Source organism: Homo sapiens, chromosome 21, assembly GCF_000001405.40.
Source record: "Homo sapiens chromosome 21, GRCh38.p14 Primary Assembly".
In the NCBI taxonomy this organism is placed as follows: Eukaryota; Metazoa; Chordata; class Mammalia; order Primates; family Hominidae; genus Homo; species Homo sapiens.
In genome coordinates this window covers 28915624-28936441 of record NC_000021.9, presented here as the reverse complement: position 1 = coordinate 28936441, position 20818 = coordinate 28915624, and the positions used below count along the sequence as shown (strand labels likewise).

At 36.3% G+C, this 20818-nt stretch overlaps 1 protein-coding gene and 1 long non-coding RNA gene across 7 annotated transcripts in view, besides 1 other annotated feature; both read left to right on the top strand.

The window, feature by feature from the left end:
- LTN1 (listerin E3 ubiquitin protein ligase 1) overlaps positions 1 to 8298 on the top strand; it is a 64734-nt gene extending 56436 nt beyond the window's left edge. For all 6 annotated transcript variants that reach the window (NM_001320766.2, NM_015565.3, XM_047440741.1 and 3 more), the window contains 4 exons: positions 1113 to 1333; positions 3778 to 3972; positions 5120 to 5287; positions 5932 to 8298. In NM_001320766.2, coding sequence (NP_001307695.2) covers positions 1113 to 1333; positions 3778 to 3972; positions 5120 to 5287; positions 5932 to 5994 — 647 coding nt within the window. In that variant the 3' untranslated portion in view covers positions 5995 to 8298. The remainder of the gene's footprint in view (positions 1 to 1112; positions 1334 to 3777; positions 3973 to 5119; positions 5288 to 5931) is intronic.
- Positions 8299 to 11740: 3442 nt separating this feature from the next.
- Positions 11741 to 17447, top strand: LOC124905004 (uncharacterized). The gene is made up of 2 exons (XR_007067833.1): positions 11741 to 12822; positions 12937 to 17447. It is a non-coding gene; the product is annotated as an uncharacterized LOC124905004 (long non-coding RNA).
- Positions 13588 to 14128: an enhancer, noted in NCBI's record as "OCT4-NANOG-H3K27ac hESC enhancer chr21:30294636-30295176 (GRCh37/hg19 assembly coordinates)". NCBI's record gives its function as "activates a minimal SCP1, AML or CMV promoter by ChIP-STARR-seq in primed H9 embryonic stem cells {active_cell/tissue: H9 hESC(primed)}" and the evidence as "EXISTENCE:reporter gene assay evidence [ECO:0000049][PMID:30033119]".
- Positions 17448 to 20818: the final 3371 nt, after the last annotated feature.

The window sequence follows — 20818 nt, the reverse complement described above, 5'->3', positions numbered from 1 at the left end:
ATAACCCCAAAGGTGGGTCCTGGCTATGAGAATGTTGAAATTGACCATTTTCCATATTTCTCTAAATAGGATGAATAATTAGTTTTTACCCATAAGACTGTGAGGAATTTAATACATTTTTGAAGCTTAGTGTGGTGAGACTATTAACTTTTGACTCTGTAAACAAATATTTCTTACGTGATAACATTTTATAGGCATATAAATCAGGGGAAATAAAGTTGAATAACATTTCATTCTGGGAGCTCACATGTGAGCTGAGAGGACAGATATGCATGTATCTGGTTGTACTACAGTATTGGAAACAATTTACTAAGAATATGAGTTTTTTAAATGCCTTGGAGATCTGAGGATGGACTGCATCTTGTGAGTATTGAGTTGGGTATTCCAAGACTTCTGCACAGCAGTTCAGCAAGCTCTGGGGAAAGTAAAGGAGGCCAAACTCCTTTTCATAATTTATAACAGCAAGCATCTTTAATTTTTCCTTCTTTTTAAAATATGTGTATTCTATTTTATTTGTGGTCTTCATGTTAAATACAGAAATCTGTTTCTAGGTAGATTTTTCAGTGTCAATTGGGATTTTCACTTTTTTTTTTTTTTTTTTTGAGACGGAGTCTCGCTCTGTCGCCCAGGCCGGAGTGCAGTGGCGTGATCTCGGCTCACTGCAAGCTCCGCCTTCCGGGTTCATGCCATTCTCCTGCCTCAGCCTCCGGAGTAGCTGGGACTACAGGCACCCATCACCACGCCCACCTAATTTTTTGTATTTTTAGTAGAGACGGGGTTTCACCGTTTTAGCCAGGATGGTCTTGATCTCCTGATCTCGTGATCCACCCACCTCGGCCTCCCAAAGTGCTGGGATTACAGGCGTGAGCCACTGCGCCCGGCGGGATTTTCACTTTAAAAAAAAATTCTTTTGCCATTCTTATGGTTCATTTTGAATGTGTGGAAAGATGCTCATACTCCAGAGTTCTGGTTTCTCTGGTATGTTTGTTTTTATGAGCTATAGCACTATTGTTGAGAAATTAAGGATCACTTTCTAAAGAAAATACTAATATTAGTCTGTTATTCTATATAAGAAATATATGTTACTAATCAATAATTTGTTTTTTCCTCAGAAACAACAATGCTTCCATACCACATTCCACACTTGGCTTGTTCAGTCTATCATATGACATTAAAAGACTTGCCTGCCATGGTTAGGTTGTGGTGGAATAGCAGTGAGAAGCGTGTTTTCAATATTGTGGATAGATTTACAAGCAAGTATGTCAGCAGTGTTCTTTCTTTTCAAGAAATATCTTCTGTACAAACAAGTACACAACTATTTAATGGCATGACGGTTAGTATTGTCTTGACTTTCTCTAGAAAAGTTGTTTTAATATTGGGTATGTCTGTCATTGTTAATATCATAACAGACTGTAGCTCTTAACTCAGAATTTATAGAAACTGGTGGCCAGGAGTCGTGGCTCATGCCTTAATCCCAACGCTTTGGGAGGCCAAGGTGGGAGGATCACTTGAGCCCAGGAGTTCAAGACCAGCCTATTTTATTTTCTAATTTGTGTGTCAAATCTCAACATTACTTCATGCGTGGATTGAAACAGTGGTATAATTTCATTCACACACTGTATTAGTCTATTCTCAGATTGCTATAAATGCCTGAAACTGGGTAATTTATAAAGAAAAGAGGTTTAGGCCGGGTGCAGTGGCTCATGCCTGTAATCCCAGCATTTTGGGAGGCCGAGGTGGGTGGATCACTTGAGGTCAGGAATTTGAAACCAGCCTGGGCAACATGGTGAAACCCCATCTCTACTAAAAAAATATAAAAATTAGCCATGCGTGGTGGCGGGCGCCAGTAATCCCAGCTACTCAGAAACTTACAATCATGGCGGAAGGCAAATGGGAGTCAGCACTTCACATGGCCAGAGCAGGAGGGAGAGAGGCGGGGAGGTGTCACACAATTTTAAACAACCAGATCTCATGACAGCTCACTCACTATCACGAGACTAGCACCCGTGGGAAATCCATCCCCATGATCCAATCACTTCCCACCAGGCCCCACTTCCAACATTTGGGATTACAATTCAGCATGAGATTTGAGCGGGGATACAGATCCAAACCATTTCACCCACCAAATAGTTTTTGAGCATTCATTAGTTCATTCAAAATCTGTACTGGAATACTTACAGATGCCAAGCACTGTGTCCCAGTCACCAAGGATATGAACAGTTTAGTAGGACCAGATTCTTGTCCTGTAATAACATACAGTCTAATAAAGGGAAAAGAGCGAGACTGATAATTATTTTTGCATTGGAAAGTAGCATATTAAGAGAAAGAGTGCCTTGTGATCTGAGTGGGAAAGATTCATCTGGCTGAGGGGATTAAGTGAGATTTTATGGAAGAAAATCACTTGGAGGTGGGCAGGATTTTGTTATGGGGAAAATGAAGGGAATGGCATTTACTATAAAGAAAATAGGCCGAGTGTGGTGGCTCACGCCTGTAATCCCAACACTTTGGGAGGCCGAGGCGGGCAGACCACCTGAGCTCGGGAGCTCAAGACCAGCCTGGCCAACATGGAGAAACCCCATCTCTACTAAAAATACAAAATTAGCCAGGTGTGGTGGCACGTGCCTGTAATCCCAGCTACTCGGGAGGCTGAGGTAGGAGAATTTTTTGAACCCGGGAGGCGGAGGTTGTGGTGAGCCGAGATCACGCCATTGCACTCCAGCCTGGGCAACAAGAGTGAAACTCCATCTCAAAAAAAAAAAAAAAAGAGAGAGAGAGAGAGAATAGTATTGCAAAAGCAAAAAGCATAGAAGTGAGAATGTCATTTCAGTCGTTGCCCAGGAAATGATAAATAATGCAGTACTCCAACCCAAATAATGCGTAGGAGTCCCAAGGGTGAATAGAATCAACGGTGAATAAGAGGTATGTTGGGAAGGGCCTCAAATAACGGTCTAAAGTGGTACAATTCAGCCACTGAACATTTTTCATTCAGGCAGTAGCATGATCAGAGTTAAAATCTTTGAAATTGCTCTGACCACAATCTATAGCATGATCTGTTGGCAAACAGTTTGGATTCAAATGAATGGTAGAGGAGACTATTGGGGTAGACATGAGCAAAGGACTAGGGCATGGGTGAGGCAGTAACAGTGGGAATATAAAAGTAGGGATGTGAGAGATTTTGTGCTAGTGATTTAGTTAATATCTAGGATGAGGTAGAAGCAGAAATTTAAAATGAGCTATCATGATTTTTTAGCCTGGAAGTAGGAAATTCAGAAGATGAAGTTTGTAAAGGATAATAATGTGTGCGTTTTATGTTGAGTTTGCAATGTTGGTTTGAAAACCAAACAAATAACTATAAATGTTCTGACAGTTGATAGTTGGCTCCAAAGCTCAGGAGGATAATATGGTAGAGGAAGAATTGTTAGATGTAGAAGTGACATTCGATACTCTGGGTGTGGAAGAGAAGCATAATAACCCATTCTGTCACTTATCTATTCAAGGTTTATTGAACTATTATGTGACAAGCCTAATATAATAAAACCTTTTTTATGAGCAATTAATTTCTTTTAAAACAAACTTTGAATATCACAAAATCACTGTAAAAATATACCAGGCAGGTATTTAAACGTATTTCTTAATTATCTCATGTCAGATAAGTGAATGTATTTACCTGCACTGTCCTTGAATGAAGTCTTTAGCTTTTAATAGTCAACCTATCAAAATGTTTTCTGGTTGAAAGACAGAAATTTGGCAAACAAAATATCCTTTGTTGTATTGCAGGTTAAAGCTCGAGCTACTACTCGAGAGGTAATGGCTACTTATACTATTGAGGACATAGTTATTGAACTTATAATACAACTGCCTTCAAATTATCCACTGGGTTCAATAATAGTAGAAAGTGGGAAAAGAGTAGGAGTAGCTGTTCAGCAGTGGCGGAACTGGATGCTGCAGTTAAGCACTTACCTCACCCATCAGGTAAGTTTCTGTTTACACATTTGGCTTTACAAACTTGGAAAAGATGATCTATTTAAAAGGGCATTTAAACATAAAATATATCTTTTCTGCTTAAGATAAAAGTAGATATTAAACTTCCTTGGATAAATACAGAGATATGCCTAAATGGATTAAACCTGCCTTTCTGTTTTAATTGTTAAGGTTCTGTAATTTATTTTCTGGTGTTTGAGAGGGATTGACTTTATTTCATTAACACTGTAGAAGGTGTATTAACAAAATTGTTTCGGAGAGGATGTTTTGAAAGATACTGGACAGATGAATGCCTTCTGAGCTACTTTCACTTTTATTCTTACATTTCAACTCCTCTTTGGTTAGAGAAGTCCCAGGACCCTCAAAGACCTTTGACCTCTAAACACATTTTAAATCTTCAGTTCTGTGTGCACATTGTGTATCTCAGGCATTCTACAATAAAGAAAAACTTTTTTTTTTTAAGAGTTTTTGCTCTTGTTGCCCAGGCTGAAGTGCAATGGCATGATCTCAGCTCACTGCAACCTCTGCCTCCCAGTTCAAGCGATTCTGCTGCCTCAGCTTCCAGAGTAGCTGGGATTACAGGCACCCGCCACCACACCTGGCTAATTGTTTGTATTTTTAGTAGAGATGGGGTTTCACTATGTTGGCCATGGTGGTCAACGAACTCCTGACCTCAAGTGATCTACCCACCTTAGCCTCCCAAAGTGCTGGGATTACAGGCTTGAGCTACCGCTCCCGGCCAAGAAAAACTATTTTAAAACAAATATGCTCACCAATATTGTAGAGCTGGAACAAATCATTTGAGATAATTTCATCATTTTCAGTTAAACATTAGAACTAACCTAAATGATTTAATTATTAAGAGAGTTTTATCAAGCAACAAGCTTAGACTATAACACTTTAAGTATTGGTCCAGAAGCCTTTAAAGTATGTCTTTAATGGAGAAAAATTACATCTGGTTCCAAAAACTTGGGAGGTTATTTTAAAAACCAACATTCATAAGTTGGGAGACATGAACATAGCCAAGCAGATTCTCTTCTTTCAGAATTGTAATTCAACTTTAAAATTTGTGAAATTGAATAAAAATAAAATTGGTGGTTATCAGTGTGTAGTGACTTATTTTTCTTCTTGTTAACAGAATGGAAGTATTATGGAAGGCTTAGCTTTATGGAAAAATAACGTAGACAAACGTTTTGAGGGTGTTGAAGATTGCATGATCTGTTTCTCAGTCATTCACGGTTTCAACTATTCCCTTCCCAAAAAAGCCTGTAGAACATGCAAGAAAAAATTCCATTCAGCCTGCTTGGTAAGTCTAAAGAGAAATTAACTTACTTATATTTTATGTATTTTATACACATAAACACACACACACACACACACACACACACACACACCTACACAATGTCTAACTTCGGAAGAGAAAATGTGTGTTAAACTTAATTGTAGCTAATGGGAGATATATTAAAAAGTGATTTTTTAAAATCTGCCAAAGATAATTAGCAGTTTACTGAGACTGGTAGAATCAAGGCCCTCTAATAAATGGGTGTTTCCAGTGACCTTTTACCACTCAAGAAGTAGAAGGTCTTCTGAGATCTAGACCATGAAGGAGAGTACAGGAGTTGGTACTGGAAGCCATCTGGCATCAGAGCCCTGTGCTCTTTTTAAACATACTGAAAAAGAAGTTGCCATTTGTTCATTTGTTTCACAGGAGATTTCTTATATCTTAGTGATTGTGTGCATGAGCCTAAGTAGGAAGAACTTAGTGTAGCCATCGGAAGTAATACTCAATTTGTGTTAATTTTGGAGATAACAGAAAGAGCAAAAATTTTATTGTTCTTCCCTTTTCACTTTATCATTTGAAGGTTACTATAGATGTATGTGTACTTTATGATGTATGTTAGAGGAGAACTTTAAAAGTTCTTTTAGTATTTAAAACCTTTTCTTTTTCAGTACAAATGGTTTACATCTAGCAACAAATCCACTTGTCCACTGTGTCGTGAGACGTTTTTCTGAGATTTTTTTCACTGGAAGGGATCCCTGAAGTACATCAAACAAAGGCATTGGATTTGGATCCGTCTGAAAGTGTGGATGTGGGGAAGCCAGTGAGCATTACTTTTAAATAGGACCTTCTCTGGAAAATTATTTTGGTTAATGTAATAATCCTAAAATCAGGTTTACTTAACTTTAGATTGCTTTGTAAATGTTTGGAAACTTTCTTTTACAAAAGAATATTACATATTTGAGAGAAAATATTTCTATTAATGGTTTAATTTCTTTGTATATTTAAAAATAAATATGAAAAACCCCTAAATTACAGAATTGGAATTTGTGAAAAGATTGCACAACTATATTATTGATAAACCCATTCCGTTTGTTGATCTGTGTTTTAGAATAGTCCAAGTGAAGCAAAACGAACTGAGAGAGCTGATTTACATCTATAGATATTTTAAGCCTTATTTATTAGTTATGACAATAAATTAGTATTCTGATATTTGTAGATTATTTTAATGATAAAAATGACACTAAGCTATTAATACGGCTTGTCTTAAGATATCTGGAGGCATGCTCTGAAATCCTATATAAAAGAGTTTAAACTGAACTTTAAGGTGCCTCCATTTATCAAGGGTTATGAAACTCAGAAAATTAAATTCTTGATGCTGACCTTTTTGCTTGTGGGAGAATTATTTCTATATATTAGTGAAATTTGAATTGTAAACTTGTCAGTGAATTTATCACTCTGAGCGAGTCTCTAGAGGGTGAGAATTTGAGAGAAATAGTAATTTGATTATTTCATTCATGAAGCGGAGTGGTAGTTATCCTTCTATTGAGAGGGAAGAAATAAATGAGTATTACTGAAACTTAAAGATCAGTGGAAAAAAAAAACATTTAAAAATGTTGTAGGAGACTTTCAATTTTGGAAGCAAACTGAGCTATTCTTACCAGCCAAAGTTATACTAAATAAGAGACTTGGGGGAGCAAATGTTTTTCAGCCTTCAGAAATGAAAGTTAAGGATTTTAGCACTAGGTAAAATTCAGTATAATAGGCTGAAGTGGAGTAAGTGAAAACCTGCCTTTTGCCACTCTTAAAAATTGTGCCCAAAATATAAAAGTGTGGAACTTTAGAACTTGGAATAATTTTATTGCAGTCTTCCATTACATGGAAATAGCATATCTAATATCTAGGTTACTTGAGAGACCAGCTAATCATCTCTGTTGCACATGTTTAATTGGCAAAAAGCAATTCATGATAAATAAAATTACTGCTTTCCATCTACTGGGTAAAATGACTATTGAAATAGTATGAATGTGGTCAGAGGATTATAGTTGAGAGTGAAGTACTATGTGTGAGTTATAGATCTCTCGAATTATATTTATAGATGCAGTGTCCTGCCCAGTTTTGTTTGCCTCCTACATTTTACTGTAAAATATTTATTGTCTTCTAGCCTTGAGCCTCTGAGGGTCAGTAAGTGAAGTACAGATAGCAAAATTTTACTACCTCGTTAACCCTTTTCTTAAAATATTCTCTATCTTTCTATGTCTCTTTCTGACATAGTAATCCCAAAGGATTGTGTTACTCCCCGTGAAAGTTATTACTTTTCCTTTAAAAATGGTTTTATAATAAGACTGTTTAAAACCTTTCCAGTATTGGTACATCTTGGCTTCTGGCCCAAACCCCAAGCAGAAAAGAAAATGGAATAATGGAGCATTGTTTTTCCACATTAGTATTAGGGCATCAGATTCTTGGTGAAACACTATAATTAAGTAGTTATAATTAAATAACTGTTCTTCATACTTAGGACTCTTAATACATTTCTTTAAGACTTGTAAGTATAATTGTAAAGCTTGTTAACTGTTTATATACTAAAGAAAAAGCTTTACAAGATAAGACTGAAATTCAGAATACCACATCTGTACAGCGTTGACAACTCTAACTAAAAGGATTACAGCCCTTAAAATTTTAGCTTAAGGACATTTTAAAATTGCATGAGATTAGCAAAATTATTAATTTAAAACCCCAAAGTAAATTGCAAATTTTAAAATTTATTTTTGACTCTTTTATCACATGCTCCAATGTATGTACATAAGTGTCTGTGGCTTAAATAATATGTTGTTATTTGATACATTTTTGTGGTGCAAGTAATTAATGTTATTATTTGATTGTTATACCATATGTGCCCATTAAAATTCTTTTTAATTAAAAATATTTCAAATATGCAGAAAAATAATAATATAAATGCCCTTGTACCCTTCACATACTATTTTGCCATATTTGCTTCTGATTTTTAAATAAATAAAATGTTACTCTTTTGTACTTCTCCCTGGCGCCATTCTCCTCCTTCTTTCCCTAGAGCTAACGTACTAATTCTGAAGTTGGTGTGACTCCTTCCTGTTTAAGATTTTATACTTTACCATGTGTTTTTATCCAGAAACAATGTATAATAGTTAACAAAAATTATGTTAATGATGTTTTATGTATGTAATCTTTTGTAACCTGATTTTCCACTCAACATAATGCTGTTTAGTGTCATATCAGTTTACTTACCAGTTCCCTTACTAAAGATTGTTTAAATTGTTATTTTTTTGCCATTTTGAACAGTGCTGCAAGTGTACATTCTTGATCATGTCACCTCATGCAGATGTGCTAGATATTCTAGACATATGTCTAAAAATGGAATTTCAGCCCGGCACGGTGGCTCACGCCTGTAATCCCAGCACTTTAGGAGGCCGAGGTGGGAGGATCACCTGAGGTCAGGAGTTTGAGACCAGCCTGGCCAACATGGTGAAACCCCGTCTCTAGTAGAAGTAAAAAAAAAATTAGCCAGGCATGGTGGTGTGCACCTGTAATCCCAGCTACTTAGGGAGGTTGCAGTGAGCCCAGATCGTGGCACTGCACTGCAGCTTGGGCAACAGAGCAATCAAGACTCAGTCTGAAAAAAAAAAAAAAAAAAAAAAAAAAATTTTATATATATATATATATATATATAAAATAAATAAAAATGGATTTCCAGGTAGTAGGATGTGTATACTCTGTCACTTTAGATGTCTTCAAATTGCCCTCCAAAGTGATATGCAAGTTTGCTCTCCCAGCTGCAGTTTAAGAGAATTCTGGTTTTCCTATCTTGTCACCAACACGTAGTCTTATCAGAATTTTTAAGTTCTGCAGTCTGAAAGCTATGAGATAGTAGCTCTTTGTTTTAACTTATATTTCCTTAAGAAGCCTAGCTTCATTTCATATATTGGTCATTATTTGACAGATTTTTGTCCATAATCTATACCTATTTTTCTGCTAGGTTACTTGTATTCTTACTGATCATAATGCTTTAGCTCATAGGACTTCTAATATGTGGCTTGTCTTTAACATTTTCTGTGACTATCTTTAATCTCACAGAATTTTTCGGTTAAATTTAATCAGACCTTTTTTTTTTTCTTTTATGATTGAGCCTTTTTTATGTTAGGTTTTAAAATTTTATTTAACTGAGGTTTAAAAAATTCCGTTATATTTTGTTAAAAGTTTTAAATTTCAAAATGTGCCTAATTTACCTGGCATTAACTTTTTTTTTTTTTAATTTTACTTTAAGTTCTGGGATACATGTGCAGATGTGCAGGTTTGTTACATAGGCATACATGTGCCATGGTGGTTTGCTGCACCTGTCTATCCGTCATCTAGGTTTTAAGCCCCACATGCATTAGGTATTTGTCCTAATGCTGTCCCTCCCCTTGCCCCCCACCCCCAACAGGCCCCAATGTGTGATGTTCCCCTCCCTGTGTCCATGTCTTCTCATTGTTCAACTCCCACTTATGAGTGAGAACATGCGGTGGTTTTCTGTTCCTGTGTTAGTTTGCTGAGAATGGTGGCTTCCAGCTTCATCCATGTCTGCAAAGGACACAAACTCATTCTTTTTTATGGCTGCATTGTATTCCGTGGTGTATATGTACCACATTTTCTTTATACAGTCTATCATTGATGGGCATTAGGGTTGGTTCCAAGTCTTTGCTGTTGTAAATAGTGCTGCAGTAAACATACATGTGCATGTGTCTTTATAGTAGAATGATTTATAATCCTTTGGGTATATACCAAGTAATGGGATTGCTGGGTCAAATGGTATTTTGGGTTCTACATCCTTGAGGAATCGCCACACTGTTTTCCACAGTGATTGAGCTAATTTACATTCCCACCAACAGTGTAAAAGCGTTCCTATTTCTCCACAGCCTTGCTAGCCTCTTGTTTCTTGACTTTTTAATAATCGCCATCGGACTGGCATGAGATGGTATCTCATTGTGGTTTTGATTTGCATTTCTCTAATGATCAGTGATGTTGAGCTTTTTTTCAAATGTTTTTGGCCACATAAATGTCTTCTTTTGAGAAGTGTCTGTTCATATCCTTTGCCCACTTTTTGATGGGATTGTTTTTTCTTGTAAATTTAAGTTCCTTGTAGATTCTAGGTACTAGAGCTTTATCAGATGGATAGATTGCAAAAATTTTCTTCCGTTCTGTAGGTTGCCTGTTAACTCTGATGACAGTTTCTTTTGCGTGCAGAAGCTCTTTGATTTAACTAGATCCCGTTTGTCAATGTTGGCTTTTGTTGCAGTTGCTTTTGGTGTTTTCGTCATGAAGTCTTTATGCATGCCTATGTCCTGAATGGTATTCCTCGGTTTTCTTCTAGGGTTTTTATGGTTTTGGGTTTTACATTTAAATCTTTAATCTATCTTGAGTTAATTTTTGTATAAGGTGTAAGGAAGGGATCCAGTTTCAGTTTTCTGCATATGGCTAGCCAATTCTCCCAGCACTATTTATTAAATAGGGAATCCTTTCCCCATTGCTTGTCTTTGTTCTGTTTGTCGAAGATCAGATGGTTATAGATGTGTGGTGTTATTTCTGAGGTCTCTGTTCTGTTCCATTGAAGACCACAATTTTCTAAAGTATGCCTTTAAGATGTACAATCATTTCTATCCAGTGTGATAATTTTTCTTCTTAATTGTAACATTTAATTCATTTATATAATGTAATTACTAAGATAGTTTATAATTCGTTTTCTAATTTTTCCATCTGTTTTGTATTCCATTTCTCTTTTTTATTTCTATTTTCCCCTCCTATTAGTTTCTTTTCTTTCACATCATAGAATATATTATTTAAGGTTATCCTAGAGATTCCAACATTAATACCTGACTTATCAACATCTCATATAAATTCTTTTTGTCACTTCCTGGAAAATTCAAAGTACACACCCTTCATCCCAGCACTTTGGGAGACCAAGGCAGGAGGATCACTTGAGCACAAGAGTTCAAGACCAGGTCGGGCAATGTGGCGAAACCCCATCTCTACAAAAGAAAATGCAAAAATTAGCCAGGCATGGTGGTGTGCACCTGTAGTCCCAGCTACTTGGGAGGCTGAGATGGGAGGATTGCTTGAGTCTGGGAGGTCAAGGCTGCAGTAAGATGAGATCATGCCACTGCACTCCAGCCTGGGTGACAGTGGGAGACCCTGTCTCAAAAACAAAAAATTCAGGGACCTTAGAATAACTTCAGTACTATTATTATTATTATTATCATATTTTGTGATCAAGTCTCACTCTGTCACCTAGGCTGGAGTGCAGTGGGGTGAACTTGGCTCACTGCAACCTCCACTTCCTAGGTTCAAGTGATTCTCTTGCCTCAGCCTCCCAAGTAGCTGGGATTACAGGCGTGTGCTACCATGCCTGGCTAAATTTTGTATTTTTAGTAGAGACAGGGTTTCGCGATGTTGGCCAGGCTGGTCTCGAACTCCTGACCTCAAGTGATCATCCTGCCTTGGCCTCCGAAAGTTCTGGGATTACAGGCATGAATCATGATGCCCGCTCCAGTACTATGATTTTTTATACTGTTGTTTAAACACCACAGGACATTATTATTGTTTTATGAATCTATATATTCATTTATATTTTTCTTCACATTTACCCCTTTGTATATTTCTTCATTCCATTTTGCATCTGGTAATTCTTTCATCATCTTGGCAGTATTACTTTTCTTTTGGAGTTCTACTGTTTCTGTTGCAAAGTCATCTGTGAATCTTATTCCTTTTAAGAAAATGTGTACCCTACCCCACTCTACCCCCAGCTGCTTTTATTTTCCCTTTGTTTTGGGTTTTAAACAGTTTTACTATGATGTCTCTAGGTGAATCTGTGATTTGGTGTCTTTCATTATTTTTGGAAAATTCTCAGGCATAATCTCTTCTTCTATCACTTTTGCCCCAATTGTCTCTTTCCTCGCCTACTCAGGGCTTTTCACCATTAGCCATACGTGTGTTAGATTCTTTTCTGTTTTGTTGTTTTATTCGTTTTTTCTCTTCATGCTCATTCTGGATTTTTATTGACCTATTTTGTAATTCACTGAACTTGTCTTCAGCTATGTCTAAGCTGTCATTTAACTCATTTACTGCGTTCTTAATTTCAGTTCTATTATTTTTAATTTCTACAAGTTCCATTTAATTATTTTTACTGATTTGGACCCTCTGCTGAAATTCATCATCTTGTATATTTTCTAGAGCATATTAATTACAGTTACTTACAAGTAATTTGGAAGCCCATGCTTGATAATTCTTAATACAGTTTCCACTTTTCTATTTTCAGTCATTTGGTCTTATCTTTTAGCATGGTCAATAATTTTTGTCTGAATGCCTGACATGTGAATGAAAAATTATTGAGTTGATGACATTAACTCTTGATACTATCTTTTTTTCACAGACAGTTTTCTTTTTGCTTCTAGCAAACAGTTTGGATAAGAGCAGATCAGTGTGGCAATTAGCTGATGAAACAGCTGAGCTTTAGTCCTTTTGAGGGTTGGTATATTTACTTTTCATTCAAGGTTCTTTCACCTTGATTGATCCTGAACTTGTTTTTGTATTCCCAGACATGTAAGACAGCCTAAAATTCTGCTCACCTTTTCAACCTCTGGTCCTCTGTTTTCTGCTCATTCAAGGTTCTTTCACCTTGATTGATCCTGAACTTGTTTTTGTATTCCCAGACATGTAAGACAGCCTAAAATTCTGCTCACCTTTTCAACCTCTGGTCCTCTGTTTTCTGCTCATTATTTCCCACTATTTAGCTTCTTAGCCTTAGGCTACTGCTTATGAATTGGCAGTTGCCTCAAGGGGAAAACAGGTGCTAAATGTCATTCTCACCTTTGCACTTCCCTTTTGGACACGGTCTTGACCCTTCAATTTCTTACTACCTTGGTGGCTCTCTTGTTTAAGCGGATATCCTCATCTATGTTTCTGTATCTGTAAGTGTATCTCATTTTTGAGTAGAGTCACTGGCCTGACAAAAGTATATTCTAGCCAAAATAAGAGAAGTCCCCACAATTTGTTTAATGACAAAAGCTCCACTAGAGAGAAGCAGTTACCTAGATAAGTCTTAGAATGTCAATTCCATTCTTTCTCTTTGCTTTTTGTGGATAATGTATAACCTTTATAGCAGTCATATATGCACATACAATGTTTTGGTATCCCTGCTTGAGCACTTTTGGAAAACCTTTACCATCTGTGCCTTAAATCCATGTAGAGCTTGTGAACACAAAATATGTGAGACAGGTCTCAGTCAATTTAGGAAGTTTATTTTGCCAAAGTTAAGGATGTGCCCATGGCATAGCTTCAGGAAGTCCTGAGACACGTGCCCAAGGTGTTTGGGGGTACAGTTTGCTTTTATACATTTTAGGGAGACATGAGACAGCTATGTGTAAGATGTACATTAGTTCAGTCCGGTAAGGCAGGACAACTCGAAGTGGCCCCGTTAGAAGTAGGTAAGACGCAAAAGGTTGCATTCTTTTAAGTCGTAGATCAGCCTTCCACTGAATACACAATTTAGTCTGGTTCAGTGGATCTGCATTTTCACAGAAACAATAGGAGAGAGGAAGCAATCAGATATGCGTTTGTTTCAGGTGAGCCTCAGACGGATGACTTTGAATAGAAGGGGAGGCAGGTTTGCCCTAAGCAGCTCCCAGCTTGACTCTTCCCATTAGCTTAGTGATTTTGGGGTCCCTAGATTTATTTTACTTTCACAAGCTTTTATATGCAGTCACCAACTCAAGCTTAGCTACACAGAGGCTGGGATGTGAAAGCACTGGTTAAGTCAGCTGTGGATCGCACATGCCCTTTCTATCTGATCTCTTCAAACCAGGATACCATCTGGCTTGGTTCAGAAACTTTCACTGTATACTTTAGTTTGAATTTAACTTTTTTTTTTTTTTAACCTTCGATACTTTGGCTGACTTTATGACTATTTTAATTCACAAAAGAGACTCACCTTAAGAGACATTATAATACTCAATTTATTGCAGGGTAAGAAAACATAAACAAGTCAATCCGTGGGCTAAAGTTTTTCTTTGGCCAAATCGTCACCATTGTCTTTATTAAGACTAGGACACCCTTTAAAAGGGCTTCCTGACTAAGTAACGATTGCCTTTCACTTCACTGTACACCCCTCCACTCTCCAGATAAGTTCATCAGTTTAACTTCATCCAATATACACAAGTGAATGCACCTTAATTAATTAGCAGAAATACTAATTGATACACATTTATTCTTAAATCCTAGATGCAGTATGTACCCTTATATCTAAAAGAGAGGTTAGCACAATAGTGCACACCAAGACATTTCAAGAGGTACTTGTGCAAGGAGAATTTTAATCCATTTTCATTTCCTCCACTTCCTCGATACTCTTTCCAAAATTTGATCTTCCCATTTATATACCTGTCTCAGACTGGTTCTCTTTTCCCACCTGCCCCTTTCACATATGTCCTTTTTTAAAAGAAAGGCATAATTTTCACCCATCTTTCTCAGTTTCACCATTGTCAAGGTGGGAAAAGCAAAACAAACAAACAAAAAACCCTTCCAGTCTATACAGGTCATTTGAAAATGTGTTGAGAAAGAGACTCCAATAATGGCTAACCCTTTTTTGCAACTCACTGGTTTTCAGTTATTTGCTTTCAATAAAATTAAACAAAAGCCTAGGCAGGCTGTCAGCCATTAAATCATTAAAATTTATTTCATTTTTGACGTATTACTAAAAAAATTGATGGATGCAGTGGCACTGAGTGACAAAGAATTGAATTATTACAAATCTCCATTCTCTGGATAAAGAAAATGTACTACATAGTGGAGTGCTATTCAGCCATAAAAAAGAATGAGATTCTGTCATTTGCAACAACATGGATGGAACTGGACGTTATTACGCTAAGTGACTTAAGCCAGGCATAGGAAGGCAAACATTGCATGTTCTCACTTATTTGTGGGATCTAAAAATCAAAACAATTGAACTCATGGACATAGGGAGTAGAAGGATGGTTACCAGAGACTGAGAAGGGTAATGACACAGGGGGTGGGGTGGGGGTTGGAGGTGGGGATGGTTAATAGGTACAAAAAAATAGAATGAATAATACCTAGTATTTGATAGCACAACAAGGTGACTATAGTCAATAATAATTTAATTTACAAGTTAGAATAACTAGAGGAATATAATTGTATTGTTTGTAACACAAAGGATAAATGCTTGTGGGGATGGCTACCCCATTTTACATGATATGATTATTACACACTGCTTGCCTGTATCAAAAATCTCATGTACCCCATAAATATATACACCCATGTACCCATGAAAATTAAAAGTTAAAACAAAAACGGAACAAAACTACATTCTCATCTATTTGTTTTACATTAAAAATGATCTCATCTATAGATAGGAAAAATGGGAATGTAATTTATGTTGACTGCTATGTCATGCTAGTTATAAATCATATATACCCACGGAAAGATGAACTAAAAAAAACACTACAAATTGGTCTTGATTCTCAGATGAATTTCCAGTAAGATTTTTAATGTTTTATGTGTAATACTTGTGTGTAAAAATATTCATGTTTGTGATATTATCTACTGCATTCTAATAGTTACTGTAATAATTTAGAAAAAAGTTATTTTTAATACTTATAGCCTTTTAGTTATAGGAAATTTTTTAAATTTCAATTTATATTCGTTTCAGAGAAGTACCTTAGGAGATAAATATTTTAAGCAGTAAAATATACTATAATTCTGTGAGGAAAGCAAAATATAAACAAAGATCCAGTGAATGATGTTTAATGTCTCACTATTGAAGAGCTTGTTTATGTATTATGTTGATAATGGTGGGAATCAAATTGCTATGGTACTTAGATTCTATTAGATACATTTAAAAGAATGACAAAAGTTTTTATTTTTGAAAATGTAAATATTTACAGTATGCCACTTGAAATTATCTTATTTGCACTTACTTAAATTTATGATGATAAATGTTAGTTATCAACTTAAAAATACATGAAAGTGTACATTCTTAAATTTTATTTAGAGGTATGTAGGTGATAAAGTTTGAAGATACTCTTCTGGCAAATATGGTAAGTGAAAGTTTAGCAGGTTCCCAGACCAGAGTTAAACACACCAGCAGATCTTTATTGACTATCTTATAGAAATTTAAAAATATCTCTCAACTTTAGATTTGGTGTTAGGGAATCTATCATGAATAGAATCTCACACTGTCTTGCAGGTGAGCCAACCAAGTCCTAATGCTAGAAATGTTGAAAAAACTGCCTTACTCCTTGGGTGAGATCTTCCAGAGACTCTGTTGCTAGGAATCTAGCCACTGCTGGAAAAAAGGGAGAAATGAAATAGAAATTGTATGTAATCAAAGCCTAATTCTTCCCTAGTAATAGAACTGACAGCTTTTACAAAGTGAAAAGATTACATTTTCTATCACAGAAAGAATGTATTATTAAAAGTGGTTTTGTAGCTGTTTGTCACAAGATTATAATTAAGTAGTTACATTTTTGGAAAGCACTTCCCTTCATTTAACATCCCCTTATCCCAATACGTACTCCCTCTCATGCCTGCATAACATGAGCTTTGTCATAGTCTGCTTGACAGTAGTTTTGAAGACAGTGCCTATAAATTTCACATCTTATTTTGTTTTCTTGTCTTAGCTGGGAAGACTTCTTAGTAAGCAGTTACCTTTGTCTTTTGATTGACTTTAAAATGGAATATTTTAAGTCATTAAATGTGATGTACCCCAGCTTTGAGCTACTTCCAATATATTAGGTTAGGAAGTTTCTATTTGCTTATATTTTTAAGTCCTGAGTGGATGATGAGTTTTATAAAATGCTTTTCCTACTTCTATTAAGATGGCAAGTGTTTCCCCCCTCCCCTCCTCTCTATTACGGTGGATTACATAATTTTGAACCACCCTTGCATTCTGGGATAAACCCAAATTGGTCATGATCAGTAGTATTACTAATAATATACTTGTAGATTTAAAATATTTTATTTTTCAAATTTTGAATCTTCATTTACAAATAAACTATAATTTTTCTTGTTCTGTATATTCATAAGTGAGATTAATTTTCAATTATATTCATAATTTTTTGTTTTTTGTCATTTTGTTTTTATTTTTTGAAATAAATGTCTACATGTACTTCATGTGGTTATTGTTTTCTCCCTTCCATACTCTATTCCTTGGAAATGAACCACTAAGTCTATCTCACACTCAGGTGCTAGAGAAGTAGACTTCACATTTTGGACAGAGAGGTGTCAAAGAATGTATGGACATGCTTAAAATCCCCACAATGCAGGTAATGCATGTATAGATTATATGCTAAATATGGTGTTCTTTCTAACTTAAGAAAGTTATGATGCCAAAATGAATTTGAAATTGATTGCGATATCTATATAATTTATGATTTTATCCAAAGTCTGATACTTTGTCAATCAAAATAGCTTTGTCGTTATCAATTTACACACAGATATTTCATACTAATGGAGCTATAGAACACTTAAAACAAGCTGCACTCTAGCCTGGGCAACAAGGTGAGACTCTGTTAAAAAAAAAAATTCTGGTCGGGTGTGGTGGCATGTGCCTGTAGTTCCAGCTACCCAGGAGGTTAAGGCAGGAGGGCAACTTGAGACCAGGAGATCAAGGCTATAGTGTGCTATAATAGTGCCTGTGAATAGCCACTGCACTCCAACCGGGGCAATACAGCAAGATTCCATCTCTTAAAAAAAAAAAAAGACATCTGACCACATTGATCCTGAAGTCCACTGGTCATGCCTTTTTTCGGGTGGCTGACAATATAGCTCTCCTTTTCAGGGCAGGGGGTTGGGGGCTGTCTGTCTCCTTTACAGCACAGCTTTGATTGTCTTTTTTCTTCCTTCATTCATCTGCATTTGGGTTTACACCTCTTGCCATCAGGAGTGTCCAGTAGCTTTGGTACCACCACAGATAATATGGTGTCAGAATAGGCAGAAAAGAAGCACCCCTTCCTCAGTCATCAATGGACAAGGACAGCACCCTTTTTGGGGACCCTTGAATCACTGTGACCGGGTCCATTGCCATCACTGGGTGACATGCAGATGATACTTTTAGCTTGAGAAGTGGTAACATCAATGAACTGGCACATGCTCAATATGAAGGCGGAAAATAAAAAATATATAAGAGAAGGAATGGGCCTGTGATATAAGCTAAAATTATAGCTTGCATTTTAAGTTCTCACTAAATTACCTCTTTAACCATGAGTATTAGGCTAGGTGATCTCTAAGTTCTCTTCTAGTTTTACAATTTCTCGGGCTAGGTGATCTCTAAGTTCTCTTCTAGTTTTACAATTTCTCGGGCTAGGTGATCTCTAAGTTCTCTTCTAGTTTTACAATTTCTTTTTATTTTAGGCCAGGCGCGATAGTTCATGCCTGTAATCCCTACTTTGGTAGGCCTAGGTGGGGGATCACTTGAGGTCAGGAGTGCAAGACCAGCCTGACCAACATAGTGAAACCCCATCTCTACTAAAAATACAAAGAATAAAAGCCCCGCATGGTGGCACACCCCTATAATTCCAGCTACTCGTGTGGCTAAGGCAGGAGAATCATTTGAACTCAGAGGTTGCAGTGAGCCGAGTTCACGCCACTGCACTCCATCCAGCCTGGGTGACAGAGTGAGACGACTCCATGTCAAAAAACAAAACAAAAACAGAAACTTCCTCTATTTTATTCCAGCTCTAAAGTTCTGGTATTTCTGTATCAAATATTGCTTTATAAATCAAACTATAAAGTCTTTTGAAACCATAGCTGTGCCTCAGACATGCCTTCACCTCCCATAGAATCTATGTTTCTATACACAGAAGGGTTTGTCATACACACTGATTGATCGCTCAGTATTTTAGTCTCTGGATTCCATATTCACTTAATTATTTCAATAATTGACATTACCCACAACCAACCAAAGGTGATACTTCTGGCAAATGGAAGCATGAGAGTGCTATTTCTTACTGACATTCATTTACCTTTTACATAGAAACCATTCATTTATCCTCTTCATTTGTTCAGCACTGGCAGTTCCATCTATTTTACATGACTTTTTGCAGTTATTATACCTATTCATAATTATTCCTGGCATATGTTGCTTAATGATGGAGATATGTTCTGAGAAATGTGACATTAGACCATTTTGTCATTGTGCAAATATCAGAGTATACTTACACAAACATTGATGGTATATGTATACATATATATTTAATTTATACATATTTTTCATATGGAAAACCAAATGTCTCAGAACCTTAACTGAATTATCGGTCATTTCCCCTGCTTAATCTGCAGTGCCAATATCAAGTGTTACATATCAGGTTTCTGTTTATGTTCTGTTATAATCTTATGGGACCACTGTCTTAAATGCGGTCATTGTTGGCTGAAACATCATTATTCGGCACATGACTGTACTTGGGTTAAATAACTGTTTTGGCTACAAGACTTGGCACAGAGGGATTTCTGGGGGATAATAATCAACTGCAAGAAACTGGTTACCCAAAACAAGCTGGTCATTAGTTTTGTTGAAATGTCAGAAGCTCATATCTGAAAATGGTGGGCAAAATAAGCAAATAGGTAACTTTTAATAGGTAGTACACTTTTACTGCTGCTCACATGAAGACATTAATAAATGTTCCCAATCCAACCAAAATAGCTTCTTAGCATTCCATCCAATAGAGCCAGGAATCTTTATTAGCTTCTGAGAAGCTCTCACATCCAGAAACTATTTGAAGTGTTTCCACCTGACTTAGGATTTATTAGGTTTTTTAGTTTAGTTTTTTGTGTTAGTTTTTTGGGGGGTTTTGGGATTTTGGTTTTTGGGTTTGTTTGGTTTTCGTTTTTGTTTTGGTGTCACATAAGTATTTCAATTTTGCACAACAATGTTATGGACTAGAAAGGGAATTTGCAATAGGTGATTCAAGTTATGGTCTTGGTAATTCCAGACAGAAGCTATTGACCTGGAAGAAGTCACTGACCCCCTGGTACTTTTTGGGAAAATAGGAATAATAACCTTCCACTCCAGAAAAATACTATAAACTCTGATGACATGAAGAATGTTTACATATTTGTCTTCCTTGGAATACACCTTATAAAGGCATAATGTTATTTCTAAAAGCTGTATTTTCAGAGGCAAAGTCTTGCACTTATGTTACCAATTAAGTCTCTGAGGATAATTTAGTTTATTACAAATACACTGGTAGAGACAAAGGCCACTAAGATTCTAGTGAAGTCACAGATGCAAATCAAAAACTGCGGATAGCAAGTTAATGGTTGGAGTGCTGGGGTGTACAGCATAAGGCTTGATGGGTAAGTTTAATTTCTACAACAAACATATTCTAACAAATATAATTTTCCTTAACCAACATAATAAGAAAATATAATTTTTTTTAAGCAACAAACAAGGATGGCAAGCACACAGGCTGCTTTACATATTTAAAGTCAGAACCTCCACAATCAGGTCAGCGGGCTTTAGAACTGTTAAATCAAATCTCT